This window comes from Homo sapiens, chromosome 3 (genome assembly GCF_000001405.40).
Source record: "Homo sapiens chromosome 3, GRCh38.p14 Primary Assembly".
In the NCBI taxonomy this organism is placed as follows: Eukaryota; Metazoa; Chordata; class Mammalia; order Primates; family Hominidae; genus Homo; species Homo sapiens.
The window spans coordinates 34,152,960-34,167,697 of NC_000003.12; the positions used below are offsets into that span (position 1 = coordinate 34,152,960).

General features: G+C 36.7%; 1 long non-coding RNA gene across 21 annotated transcripts in view, besides 1 other annotated feature; it reads left to right on the forward strand.

Moving 5' to 3' along the window:
* Positions 2,994–3,053: a silencer, noted in NCBI's record as "silent region_14193". NCBI's record gives its function as "represses an Ori minimal core promoter by ATAC-STARR-seq in GM12878 lymphoblastoid cells {active_cell/tissue: GM12878}" and the evidence as "EXISTENCE:reporter gene assay evidence [ECO:0000049][PMID:35858748]".
* Positions 6,405–14,738, forward strand: part of LINC01811 (long intergenic non-protein coding RNA 1811) — a 276,733-nt gene continuing 268,399 nt past the window's right edge. For 14 of the 21 annotated variants that reach the window (NR_183677.1, NR_183681.1, NR_183678.1 and 11 more), the window contains exon 1: positions 6,405–6,457. This is a non-coding gene — a long non-coding RNA (long intergenic non-protein coding RNA 1811). Of the gene's footprint in view, positions 6,458–6,988; positions 7,069–14,738 lie in introns of those variants that run through there. The other 7 variants (NR_183676.1, NR_183683.1, NR_183684.1 and 4 more) reach the window with 1 other exon arrangement.

Below are 14,738 nucleotides of genomic sequence, written 5' to 3' on the forward strand. Positions count from 1 at the left end.
CCTTTCTCTAGGAAGGTAATTTTCATTTTCTCAGCTCACTTGGACCTGCATATCCTTGTGGTCTCCAGGTGTGAGAAAGGTGCAGGGAGAGAAGAAAAGGTACCTGGGGAGAGACAAGGAAAGGGGGCACAGTGGGAGGGGATGGTAGGGGTGGGACAGCAGGTGGGGGAAGAATGAGGGAGGGGCTTACTGCCACTGAACCCAGAGAGGGGCACATATGCTAATTTTGGCAACTTTTAATTAAATGATAGGCTGGAAAAATTCCATTATTATTACTGCTTAGCTTTCTGACTGTAGTGGCTTAATGTCTTCTTTATTAGTGTAATAGTCTGAAAGCATTTTCTTTCTTCTTCTATTGCTAATTTGCATTAGGAAAAGGAAATGTGTCTGATACATCTTTGAAAGAAAATATTTCCAAAATTTGCTGAAGACGGAGTTTTTATACTTTCTCCCTCTGCCTCTCCTCCTATTGCTTCTTGTTTGAGTGGGAGGAAAGGTGGGTGTAGTTCTAAAATGAAGGATGATTGAGATTCTCATCTGGCAAGAGAAACACAAAGCAAGTCCTCTTAAGACACATTTTTTAAAAACGTGGGATTACATTAAGTCACCTTTCCTAGGATCTGGGTTTTATGGGCTCCTCTGATTTGGGGCAGCATTCAGGGGTCTCTGGAAGAAGGAGAGGCAACAACATCCTTTTCTTAATTATGAATTTTTTTATATGAAAAGTCTAGGGCCCACACCATGAGGTTACTAGAGGGCTGGGCAACTGTATAGATACCCTTGGGTCAGGTAACAAAAGGCTTGTAGACAGTGAAAAATGTGCTTTGAGACTTTATTTCCATTGTTTTCACAGCAAGTCTACAAATTAGATTTTATTTTTAAATCATTTTACATTTGAAGAAATTGAATTGCATGAAGGAAAAATGGTTTATCCGAAGTTGTCTATAAGTAGGCTGATGAACTGAAGACAGTTCTGGGCAAAATGGGATGAGTTGGTCACCTGACTAGTAAGTTCAATTTTGGATCTTCAGATCCAAGGATGGGATTCTTTCTTGTTTTTCGCAGCTTCCCTGGTATATGCACTGTTTTAGTTGCTGTGTTAATTGGCTTTGTTTAGACTTCTATTATTTTGCACATGGATACTAGCTGCCCTACCAGTGGAGTAATAAGGCTGATTTAGAGTTATACAGGATAATGAAGAAACCAAATATTAACAATATTGGCTTGTGCCTTTTGAAAAATTGCTTTTGAGAAGTTGCTCAGTTTATTGTTCAAAACATGTCTGGAAATCCCAAGTCTTGGGATTCATCACTAGACCCAGTTTCTAGGGCCATTCAGGAAATGAAGTCTCATTATTTTGCAGTTCCATTTTGTGACAAAATTACCTTTTAGTAATTTGCCTCGTTTCACCTCTCTTGCTCTTCTAGTTTTGGCCAGAAAAGAACTTCTTGCCTCTCTTTTTCTATTCTATTATATGTTATTATTTCTGTACACAAACTTATTTCAGTGGTTATGTATCTATAACAATAGAGAACTTGGTTGATTGTAAGTATAGATGGTGCTTAATGACCACCAATGTGGTTTAATAAGTAAAGGAAGTAACCCGTTGAATACTGAGGACACTACATACTAGTATCATGTAACATTTGACAGAACATTATTCAAACATAATGTAAAATTGACAAGAATTCAGGATTTGGTTAGTAAAAAGTAAACATTGTTATAGTATCATAAATGAAACTCCAAGAAGGTTTTAGCAAAGACATTCCACAGGATGAGGGGAGTAGAATCATAATCACAGAATACATATCCCGGCAATAGACTAGACATTGGTTATGTAATTTTAAAAAAGCCAGTGGGGAATATAAATTCCTCTTTAAATTAGTAGATACATTACAAAGGCCTGTAAAAGAAAGCTCAGAAAATAAGAAGTATTAAATACTTTTGCCACTTAAGAACCGTTTATCTTTGATCACTTTTTCGACTCACATTTTTATGAAGTGCATAAGTCAAACATGATTAAATAAATTGCAATTTTTTTAAGGTTAGAAGTGGTCAAGTATTAGCAATTTTATATGTTTCAACCTAACATTACTATTTCTATTTTGCTGAGGGAGAAATGGAATTGATAACTGATACAGAGTTACTGGAGATTAGATTTATTGGAGAAATCAGGAAAGGGGGCTATCAAGCCCTTCTGATCCCCAATACTGTTTTTTGTTTTTTGAAGCTACAGTTCCAGTGGCTGTTATGGAGCAGAAACTTGATAAATGTGTATGGTAGTTTAGAAAAAAAAATGGCCACAAGTGTGTTGACACTGTCCCATCAAGAGGTGGCGTTGATGTTCTCACTCCTTGACTCTAGACAGACTTGTAACTACTTTGACCAATAGAGTATGATGGAAGTGACACTATGTGAGTGCTAAGACTAAGTCACAAAAGACCATGCAGTGTTTACTTGCTTCTCTTGGAATGCTCAGTCTTGTAACACTTGTGAACTCCAGTCATCATGCTGTGAGAAGTGCAAGCCACATGGAGAGACCACATATGAGTGCTTCAGTTGACAGCACTGGTGGAGCCCAGTCTTCAAGTCATCTCAGCCCAAGTACCAGGCATGGGACTGAAGAGGCCTGCAGATGTGTCAGCCCCCAGTTGTTGTAGTCTCCCCTGCTGAGACTCCAGACACTGTGGAACAGAGAAAAGCCATTCCTGCTATATTCTGCTTTAAGTCCTGACCCACAGCATCTGTGAGCTAATAAAATGATTGTTGTGTTAGGCCACTAAGTTTGTGGTGCTTCATTATACTGCAATAGATAAGTGGAACAACGTGGACAGGATGTGTACTTCTTGTCTAGGAGGTTGAGCTTCATTCTCAGTTACAAAACCTATATGGGTGCCTGAAAGTCATTTGAGTTCCAGCCCGCTGCTCTCCCTACCCATTGAAGCTCATGCTTGCTGTTAGCTGTGCAGAAACACTAACCATGGGTATCAAAGTGACACTGGCCCTAATTGGTTGGATGATCTGAGAGACCTGAGGAGGGTTTCTGCCTAGTGTGGAAATCTCCTCCCACAGACACTCAGGTTTGTCAAAAACACCTTGAAGAATGTGCTCTCAATTCTGGATGCTGCTGGAATACCGAAGAATTCTTCCCATGTGCATCTATGTTCATTTAAAAATAACTTTTAAAATATTATTTATTTATTATTTTTAAAAATTTTTGAGAAAAGGTCTCATTCTTTCACCCAGGTGGGAATGCACTGACATAATTATGGCTTACTGCAGCCTCGACCTCCTGGGCTCAAGTGATCCTCCCACCTCAGCCTCCTGGGTAGCCACCATGCCTGACTAATTTTTTTGTACTTTTTTTTTGTAGAGATGGGGTTTTGCCATGTTGGCCAGGCTGGAAAAATATCTTTTAAAAGTGGTAATGCATATTCATTATATCATGAACTGAAAATACAGACATACTCAAAGAAGAAAGCAAAAAACATCTATAATGCCATCCAATGACACATGCTGTTAACAACTTTCAAACTTCCTTTATTGAGTGTAAATCATATGACTCATTTGTATATAATATAATGTGATGCATAATTATTATAATAAAATTCACAAATATATATAATATATATATTAACATAATGGGATTATACTATCTATATTATTCTATAACTTTCTTTAACCCAACTATTGTTGAAATTGTTTTGTGCCTCTGTATAAAGCCCTAATTTATTTGTACTGATTGCATAAGATTCATTGTCTGATTGTCTGTAGTTTATTGCTTCCCTTGTTGATGGATCTTTACAGTTTTCTTACTTCTGTTGTAAAAATTACATTGCATCACCGTCCAGTGATAGTACCTCAGTGGTTCAGGCTGGCTGTTGGTTGTTGCAACTCCTTGTCTGTTGCACATCTCAGTCACTTTTTAATAGGAAATGTTTTCACTTCTCTCCCGCTCCTTCAACACACACACACACACACGCACGTGCACACATAAAGGAATTCAGTGGGAGAACACACACGAACACACAGGGAAATCCCACAGAACTCGACAATGGGATTTTGAGATTAGATGCTTTCAAAAGGGAGCAGGCTGTTGCCTTCTCAGATTTTGTACAGGGTTGCAACATCTGCTCCTCTGACAAAAGAAATATTTAAAAATGCTGTGGAAACTAGGTTAGGCCAAACTTGAAAAGTTTTTCCTTCCCTCACTGTTGAATTTGTAAATATATTCCCTATGCTTTTTTGTAAATGCAAAATGTCAGCATAAATGTGGAATAAAAATGGGCTGGTTAGCCTGTTGCTTTGGCTTCTCTAAAATGGAGGAAATAAAATAGAAACTTAAAATAGTGTGTTCAGGAATGAAGCTTTTTTTTTTTTTTTTTTTTTGCCTTCAAGCAAAAGGTAAAAAATAACTGCCTTGCTTTTTGTTACTGCTTTTTAAAAAATCAAGTTGCTTTTTGTTAACAATTGTTAGAATCAGTAGCTTAGGCTATTTCTGGCATTCTTTGCTGGAGTATTCTGCAAACCTTTCACAAGACAATATCAATGTTGCTCAGAAGCACTTGGAATTTGGGATTTCTCCATGATGAGAGAAAAGAAAGCTGAAAGGGGCTCTCTCCTTTGCTATAGTTTGGACTTCATTTGTTACCTTTCCAGCAGCTCAGGGTATTTCACAGCCTGAGGCATTAACTTAGAACTGGGTGAGTGACTCCTTTTTGATGAGAGGGTAAGTGTGGAGGAAGTTAGAGGTTGGGGAGCTGAGCTTAGGTTTTGTTGTCAATCTAGTTAAGTTAGAAACTCAGTTCCATCATTTACTTGCTGTGACACCTGGAGTGTAATTGAACCTTTTTGAACCTTAGTTTCCTATTTTATATGATGTAGATGGCATGGGGTCAGCTTTGTGAGGAATGTAGGTGGTAAACATAAAATAAGTGGCACATAATAAACACTCACAAATGTTAGTTTGTGTCTCTGATTAAGACCACCAATTTTTTTTACTTAATTAAAATTTACTTTATTTATTTATTTATTTTTATTATACTTTAAGTTCTGGGATACATGTGCAGAAAGTGCAGGTTTGTTATATAGGGATACATGTGCCATGGTGGTTTGCTGCACCCATCAACCAGTCATCTACATTAGGTATTTATCCTAATGCTATCACTCCCCTAGCCCCCACCCACCGACAGGCCCCGGTGTGTGATGTTCCCCTCCCTGTGTCCATGTGTTCTCACTGTTCAACTCCTACTTATGAGTGAGAACATGTGGTATTTGGTTTTCTGTTCCTGTGTTAGTTTGCTGAGAATGATGGTTTCCAGCTTCATCCACATCCCTGCAAAGGACATGAACTCATCCTTTTTTATGGTTGCATAGTATTCCGTGGTATATATGTGCCAGACTCTCTTCATCCAGTCTATCATTGGTGGGCATTTGGGTTGGTTCCAAGTCTTTGCTATTGTGAACAGTGCTGCAATGGGCGGATCACAAGGTCAGGAGATCGAGACCATCCTGGCTAACACGGTGAAACCCCGTCTCTACTAAAAATACAAAAAAAATTAGCCAGGCGTGGTGGCGCCTGTAGTCCCAGCTACTCGGGGGTTGAGGCAGGAGAATGGCATCAACCCAGGAGGTGGAGCTTGCAGTGAGCCGAGATCGCGCCACTGCACTCCAGCCTGTGCGACAGAGCAAGACTCCATCTCAAAACAAAAAAACAAACAAAAGAAAAAAAAAACATACGTGTGCATGTGTCTTTATAGTAGCACGATTTATAATCCTTTGGGTATATACCCAGTAATGCGATTGCTGGGTCAAGTGGTATTTCTGGTTCTAGATCCTTGAAGAATCGCCACACTGTCTTCCACAATGGTTGAGCTAATTTACACTCCCACCAACAGTGTAAAAGCGTTCCTATTTCTCCACATCCTCTCCAGCATCTGTTGTTTCCTGACTTTTTTTTTTTTTTTGCTCACTGCAACCTCTGCCTCCCTTGTTCAAGTGATTCTCCTGCCTCAGCCTCCCGAGTAGCTGAGATTACAGGCGCCCACCACCGCGCCTGGCTGATTTTTGTATTTTTAGCAGAGGTGGGGTTTCACCATCTTGGCCAGGCTGGTCTGAAACTCCTGACCTCGTGATCCACCCACCTTGGCCTCCCAAAGTGCTGAGATTACAGGCGTGAGCCACCGCTCCTGGCCGAGACCACCATTTTGAATATCACACGTAATGAGCCAGAGAAAATGATGTTCACTGGAACTCTCCAGAGAAAGTGAAAGGTGTCTCTGAAGGAAAGGATTTTTATGAGTTTAGAGTGGTACTATGCTCTCCCTTTTCCTTTGCCCCAAGGAATTAGGGTATATTCTAAATCGATTTCATCTGGGTGATACAAGAGATTCTGTTGGTTGTTCAGAGATGTTGAGAGATCAACCAGGAGACTGTGGGAGGATGTGAGCTCTCTGAGGTAACCTCTCTCCATGTGTCACCCCTGGTCTTCGGGAAGTCTCTCCAATTCAAGAAATGTGCTGTTTTAGTGGTGTCTTTCTTTTGGAAACTGGTAAAGGGACTGAGGGTGCTGTGGAATTAAAGACAAGCAAGGGCCAGGCATAGCGGTTCACACCTGTAATCCGAGCACTTTGGGAGGCCAAGGTGGGAGGATTATTTGAGGCGTGGAGGTCAAGAACAGCCTGTGTAACATAGCCAGACTTTGTTTCTACGAGAACATAAAATAAAATAAAATAAAATGAAATAATCTGAATATAGATGCATGCATGTGTGTTCCCAGCTACACAGGAAGCTGAGGCAGGAGGATTGCTTGAGCCCAGGAGTTCGAGTTTATAGTGAGCTGTGATCATGTCACTGCACACTAGCCTGGGCAACAGAATGAGACCCTGCCTCTCAATAAAAAGAAATAAAGAAGACAGAAATTCAGTGGCAATAGAAGCAGGAGGAAATGAATCTTTGAACTTGCAGATGTTGTGGGAAGACTGTTAACAGTCAATGGAATTGGCAGTCAAGAGAAGTTTAACTGAATCTCTGAGTGGCAAGAGTCAGGAGAGGTTTAACTGAATATAGGTTAGTTTTTTTCTTTTAAGGTTGTGCATACTTGTGATTAATGTTCCTATTTACATCTTTTTTGGATACTGGTGCAAAACTGACTTAGCCAAATCACTCAAAATCTTTGAGTCTGACTCTTTTGCCTTCCAGATAGATTAAATAATTCTTTGGCCTGCCAGTATTTTTACTACCTTGTAAAATGTTTACTGGCTTTCCCCACAAATCCTGGTGCCTTACTCAGAGGTAACATAGCTGGTAGCAAGGATAGGACAGGGTTTGACGAAATCAACAGTGAATGCAAGAAATGTTCTTGTTTCCCCAGAATACAATTTCTTTCCATTCTAACCCACTTTTCCCCTGGATCTTGGGCTTGTGCTTATCTGCATGTCTGCATTATTATGCATTTTGCTCTATACAGTCTTTTCTGTTCAAAGACACAGGCTGTAAATCAAAAGCTAGAATTGGAATCCAAAACTTGGGCATAGACTATCCGGGATCAGTGCTATAGAACAGATTTCAGGTGGAACCAACCAGTAAGGGAAATATTGTAATAAATATACATAAATGGCCAAATCCCTTGTTTCCTCTTCGGCTTAACTATATGCAGCCTGCATTGCTTAATGTTGGGAGTATGTTCAGAGAAATGCATCATTAGGTAATTTCATCCTTGTCTGGACATCATAGAATGTACTTACACAAACCTAGATAGTGTAGCCTAATACACACCCAGGCTATATGGTAGAGCCTATTATTGCTCCTAGGCTACAAACCTGTACAGCATATTACTGTCCTGAATACTGTAGGCAAGCAATTAAAACACAATGTAAGTATTTGTGTATCTAAACATATACAAACATAGAAAAAGTGCAGTAAAAGTATAGTATCATAATTTTATCCACTGTCATATATGTGTGGTCCGTCTTTGACCAAAATGTTGTCATGTGATATATGAGTGTATATTCAACTACCTGTAAATTTTGTTGATATTAACAACTTTATTATGGTAATTATTAGAAAGAGGATTAGCTTTGTGCTAAGCCACGTATTAGATGTCCAAACACAGACTATGCATGTAATAAATCAAAGTGTCCCTTAAAAGACTGTAGAAAAATAGTTTTATTATAAATAACAATATAACTCATGCATTTGTAATTACAGCTGGTAATAAGGATATAACTAATATTGGACATAGGATGATAAACTATGGCTTGGCAATTTCAGAAAAAAGTGGCTGGAATAGTAATTGGAATGATCTCTTTCACTAAGATATTATGGGTCCTGCAAATGCTACTGAATGCCAAAGCTATTAGCCAGAGAAAATTATACTGAGGAAAAGAAAATGAATACTTTTGAATACCCATTAAGTTCCAGATACTTAAATATATATAGACTCCTTAAATACTCCTAATCTTGTGATATAAGTATTATTATTTTCACAGATGAAGACTTTGAGGGTAAGAGAGGTTAAGGATTTGTCTAATCTCAAATGGCAAGTGAATGCAAATGATGGATCTAAAATTCAAACCACATCTGTTTATCTTCTAAATGTATTCTCTTTACATTAGTCAGAACTCTGTAGGGTTAATGAATTTGATGTAGAAGATGCTTTGCTTCAACACCAATATAAGAGGTAAAACAAAGGAGTTATCCACAAGTCAAGAAATGAGAAGTTTCAGCTTCACATATTTTGGCAGTTGGCAAATGCCCATCTTCCATAGCTTCTCTGGCTTTTAGCGAGAAAAGAATACATTCACAAATGTAGTGAAAAGAATGGGACTTGTCAAGGTGTTTTCAGACATAGAATGTTGAGAATAAAGATAATGAGTTGGAGATATTAAAAAGAGACAGCCTGACTTCTTAGAGAGGGTTTACAATGTCAATGCACAATCCAAGGGTCTTTTCTTTCTGAATCCACAAACTAAACTTGTCAGTGCGCTAGATCTGATGAGCCTCAGGGAACTGACTAATATTTAGAATAGACTATTTATTTATTAATTTACAAACAAAGCTTTTATTTCCTGTGAACATAATAATGGTGCCCACCACCAAAGAACGTTTTTCTTGGTACTAAGGTAATTGTGCTATAGACTCTGTAACCTAAGTTTGATTAGTGAATAGACTCAGAAGAAATGGAATTAGGTGACCATGTGGGTACTTTCTCCAGTTCACAGAAGAGAGTGTGCCACTTTAGTGACCAGAACATTCTCATATGGTAGAAAACTGCTACAACATTATTGTTCTTTGGTGCCACTTTTCCTAAACTCCACATAGTTCTTACTCCTTTTTAAGAGTCATTTAATTCTTTAAACTACTGTTATAAAAATATACACTCTAGTAACCTTAATTGGATCCCCATAAGCCCTCTTTAGTGTCCAGAATGTGGAAAACTCAAGATAATTAGATACTTATGTCCATTGCCAGTCTCCTCCATTAGTATAAATCTCGGGTTTTACACAAATTCCAAAGTCTGATGCTATCTTCTCGTAGTCATCGTGTATGTCAACTATAGGCACATCAAGCTTCTCTGAACAGTCTGACCTGACAGTCAGCTTTGAAATAAAATTAGGAAACTCATTGGCTAGAGATTGTTTATAGGGAAAGAAAGTTAATATAAGACAAATTTGTGAAACTATTTCTGTAAATAAGAATTAGAGAAGAAATGAAATATAGAGGGAGAGCCTGACATGGCATTTTATTTTGGTCAAGAGGAAACACAGGAAGAAATATTTCCTGGGAGAGAAGCTGTGTTTCTGATGTATCATTTTCATTAAGGATGGCAATAATTTGAAGGACCCATGTAAACTAAGCCTTATTATTTTTAAACATATTTTAACAATTTCTTTTAAATCATCCAAAGGTAATATGGCATGGTTGGAATTCTGCTTATCCCAATTATGGTTGTTCTTTATGTAATTGACATATATCTAATGAGCACTCACTATATACACGGGGGGGTGTTAGGCACCATGAATAAACAGAATAAGATGGTCTCTTGTTTATGGGACGTTTGCTCTAAACCCCATAATAAAATATTCACACAGCAAAGGGTGATTTACCACCAAAAGCCATAAATGGGTAACACACCCCACTGTTCAAAAGCGTTGTGAAAATATTTTGGAGGTCAGAAGCTGTATAAAGTAACATTAAGTCAGGGTAGGGAAGGCAATCAGTGCTATTTACCTCCTAGAAGACATGGGGTATTCCCTTCAGGCCACAAGTTCTTGCTAGGGTCCTTAAGTTTCCCAATAGGTTCCTATTTTGAATTTGACTACCTGTGCAGGGCCACATGCTCTTCACTCACATGGTCACATAGTTGCCTGTGTTCAAGTACTTTCCAGGAGTGCACTCTGGAATTTATAGCTGTCCAATAGTTATTAAAATCATAACTGAGAAAAGCAATATTCAGCATGTATTTCATAAAGGATATGCAATTAATTTTTTCTTTTGAAATGTAAATATTTCCTTCCAGACCCAAGAGAGCTATGAATCTGGACTGAATAATAATGGAGTCCTCAAAGATTTGTACTATAAGGGAATCATGAGCCTAAGTTGAGGAATATTATGAGAAACAGCATTGGAAACACCTTGTGGGGCTGTGGAGAGAATAAGCCTGAGGATGTCTTTTATTATATAGTGCAAAATATGGACAAAAAATCTATTGAGCATGTTGCTTCACCAATAGTCTAGCCTTGCTCATTGATGACACTATATCTTTAACTATTTCAGGGTTATTTGTCCCTCCATGATGGTATGATCAGGAGAAGAGAGATTAATGGAAAGTGAGATCTGCTACTATTGTGAATTGGTCACTATATGAAGGGACATAATCATTAATGACAAGAGACTTGTTTAAGATGAAGAAAATGAATCTAAATGAAGTTATTTCTTCTTACCAGATGATATGACTTAATTAGTACAGATCTGCACTGTCCAAAATAATAGCCACTAGCCACATGTGGCTATTTATATTAACATTTCAACAAAGCAAAATTAAGTAAAGTTAAAATTTCAGTGCCTTGGTTATAGTAATAATACTGCTGGTGCTCAATAGCCACATGTGACTATTTGGCTACCATATTGGATAGCACAGATACAGAATATTTCCTTTATTGCATAATGTTCTACTGGATAGCACTGGTTGAGATAATAACAAGGAATGAATGACCCGAGCAATTCAATCAATGGTCCATTCTGTAGAATAATTCATCAGGATGTTTTATACCCTCTTCCTTCTTTGTTCATCTCTTTACATTATTAGTGCTTTGATTGGAGCTAGTACAAATGGGTCACATTTACTGAATTATTTTAGAATAATATTTTCTCATTAATCAAATACCTGAGCTCACATTTATGCTCTTTCTCTTTCTTTTTCTTTCTCTTTTTCTTTCTTTCTTTCTTTCTTTCTTTCTTTCTTTCTTTCTTTCTTTCTTTCTTTCTTTCTTTCTTTCCTTTCTTCCTTCCTTCCTTCTTCCTTCCCTTTCTTTTCTCTTTCTTTCTTTCTTTCTTTCTTTTTTTCTTTTATTGGCTTTGTAGAATATCCAAATTTAGTACATCAGCATAGACTCTGCAATAAACTGTAGAAAAATTCTAGCTAGAAAAGTTGATTGAAGTTAATAGTTGAGGGAGTCTTTTGACTACTTTGCAGATTTAAATTCTTCTTCCTATTCATTTGTTTTCTATTAGCATAAATAACCAAGAATTAGTTGTAGTTTTTATTAAAGAGAAAAATTAAGTAAGAGACTGACAGACAGATGGAGAGGACAAAGACAGGGATAAACAGAGATAAACGGATGAATCAAAGGAGAGACATTTATTGAGTGAATTCTGTGAGGCTATTATTAGACTAGGTTATTCCTTTAATACTTAATACTTAAAAACCCATTGAAATAAATTTTGTCCTGATTTTATAGATGAGAAAACAGGCTCAGAGAGGGATTTCACTTGCTCAGTGTTCATACGACTGTAGATGATAGTGCTGAGATTTGAACTCAAACTTTCTTCAAGAATTATGAATATCCTATTCTATCAATCTCTAAGCCATTATCTTTTTCCCCCAAATCACTGACAGTAAACTCTCCATGTCTTTTTGTTGTCTTATATTTTCTTTTGCTTCTTATTTCTTCTTTGAATTGTTTTTATTCAAGGAGTTTTTGTCTTCTTTATTTGAAAATAAAGAGTAATGTGTCAGGAAGATTTTTCACCTGTTTTCTAGAGTAAATCTTTTTCTGAATTGTATTTTACCTGCTTTTTGCTCTTATAGCTCTTCCAATTTTTATTGGAATGTTTATGCAATGACCCATGCTGTTTATTTCTAATTATTATTTATCTTTTTTAGTGGGAGTGATTTTGTTTGTCTTTAATTTGCTCACTTAACATGTGGGAGTGGAATGAGAGGAGGGAACTAAGGCAGCAAGTTACTTCTGTTTGGTCTCCTTGTCTCCAAACTCCTTCTCATTAAATCTGCGGCATTTTCTGTTCTCATGGACCAATGTTCTTTCAAATTTTGACATTCCGGTCTTCAAAGCGAGAAGTTTAGTGTAATTTTCAGTGAAGCTGAAATTAAATCTTGTGATTTAGTATGGACAACATATACATGTATGCTTAAAAGAATGATGTAATGAAAACTATTGCCCATTACCCAGTTTAAGGAAAAATCATTTTCAGAACCTTAAAAGTTCCTAATGATGCTTTTTAAAAAATCCCATTCCTTCCTTGCCTCAGAGAACCCAATCCATTGGATTTTGTGGTTATCATTTCATTGCTTTTCTTTATATTTTATAATGCATAAATAATTCCCTAAGTAATATATCTATATTTATATATAGATATATTCCCCAAGTAATATACCAATATCCCTAAGTAATATTGGGTATTGTCTGCTTTGAACTTTATGTAAGTAGACCCATACTAAATATATGCTTCTGTGATTTGCTTCTTTCACTCAACATCATCATTTTGCATTTCCCACATGTCGATACATAAAACTGTAGTTTTACATTGCACACATGAATACATTGCATGAATAAATCACTTATTTATTCATTCCACTGCTAATCGACATTTGAAGTGCTTCCAGTGTTTCTCTTTAAACTGTGGACTGTGCTCTCCTGAGCATTTTTTCAGGTCTCTATTTGCAAAAACAATCTCTTGCTAGACATTTTTTTGAAATATACTTAAGAGGAGAATCACTGGGTTGTAGAATGTGTCATCTTCAACTTTATTAGATAATGTAAACAGTTTTCCAACATAATTGTACCAAACTATAATCTCAGCAGTAGGTGTGAGAACCTATTGGTCCATATCTTTGTCAAATTTTGGCATTGATAGACTCATTGAAATCAATTGGCTGAGGGAACTTAGAAGACAGGTCAATAGGTGCAGCAAACCACCATGGCACACATATACCTATGTAGCAAACCTGTACATTCTGCACATGTATCCCAGAACTTAAAGTTAAAAAAATATATATATATATATATATATATATATGAAAATCAACTGACTGTTAATCAGAGAGTTTATGTCTAGACTCTAAATTCTATCTGATTGAACTATATGACACCTTTGTGGTAGTACCAGGCTATATTGATGGCTATAGCTTTGTAGAAACTTTTGAAATTGGCTCCACCTACTTTGTTCTTTTTAAAGGTTGTTTTGGCTACTCTAAGTCCCTTGACTTTTAGAATCAGTTTGTCAATTTCTGCAAAGAAGTCATCTGGGACTTTAATGAAGATTACATTGAATCTTGTAGATCGATTTAGGGAATATTTATTGCCATCTTAGACAAATAGTCTTCTAATCTATGAACATGGCATGTCTTTCCATTTATTTATGTCTTTTTCAGTTTCTTTCAACAGTACTTTTTAGTTTTCAGAGTATAAGTTTTACACTTTTTGTTCAATGTATTAAGTATTTTTCTTTTTGATGCTCTGCTTCTTTATTTCATTTTTGATTGCCCATTGTAAGTGTATAGAGATAGAATTGGTTACTGTGTATTCATTTTTTGTCTGTCTACTTATCAAACACTTTTCTTAGTTCTAGTAGTTTTTTAGTGAATTGTTTAGGATTTTTTGTATATACATCATGCCATCTGCAAGTAGAGATAATTTTAATTCTTCCTTCCCAGTACGGATGTCTTTTATTTAATTTTTCATCTAATTACACTGGCTCTGACCTTCAGTACAATGTTAGATGGATGTTGTGGGAGCAGATATTTTTGTCTTGTTCCTGATGTTAAGGTGAAAGCATTGTCTTTTGCCATTAAGTATGATGTAAACTGTGAGTTTTTCACAGATACTCTTTATCAGATTGAGAAAGCTTCCTTCTATTTCTAGCTTGAGGGCTTTTATCATGAAGGGTCTTGGTTTTTGTCAAGTACTTTTTCTGCAACCATCAATAGCTGCATAAAAATAGTAATATTTAAAAAAATTCAATGACCTGACATATTACATTAGCTGATTTTCAGATGCTAAACCAACCTTACCTTGTTGGGATAAATTCCATTTGGTCATGGTATATAATCCCTTTTGTATGCTGGATTCAGGTTGTTATTTTGCTGAAAGTTTTTGCATCGATGTTCATAAGAGACATTGGTCTGTAGCTTTCTTTTCTTGTGATATCTCTGGTTTTGGCATCAGGGTACTATTCCCTTTGTCACTGGCCATCAAGAATTTTGCTAGGACATGTCT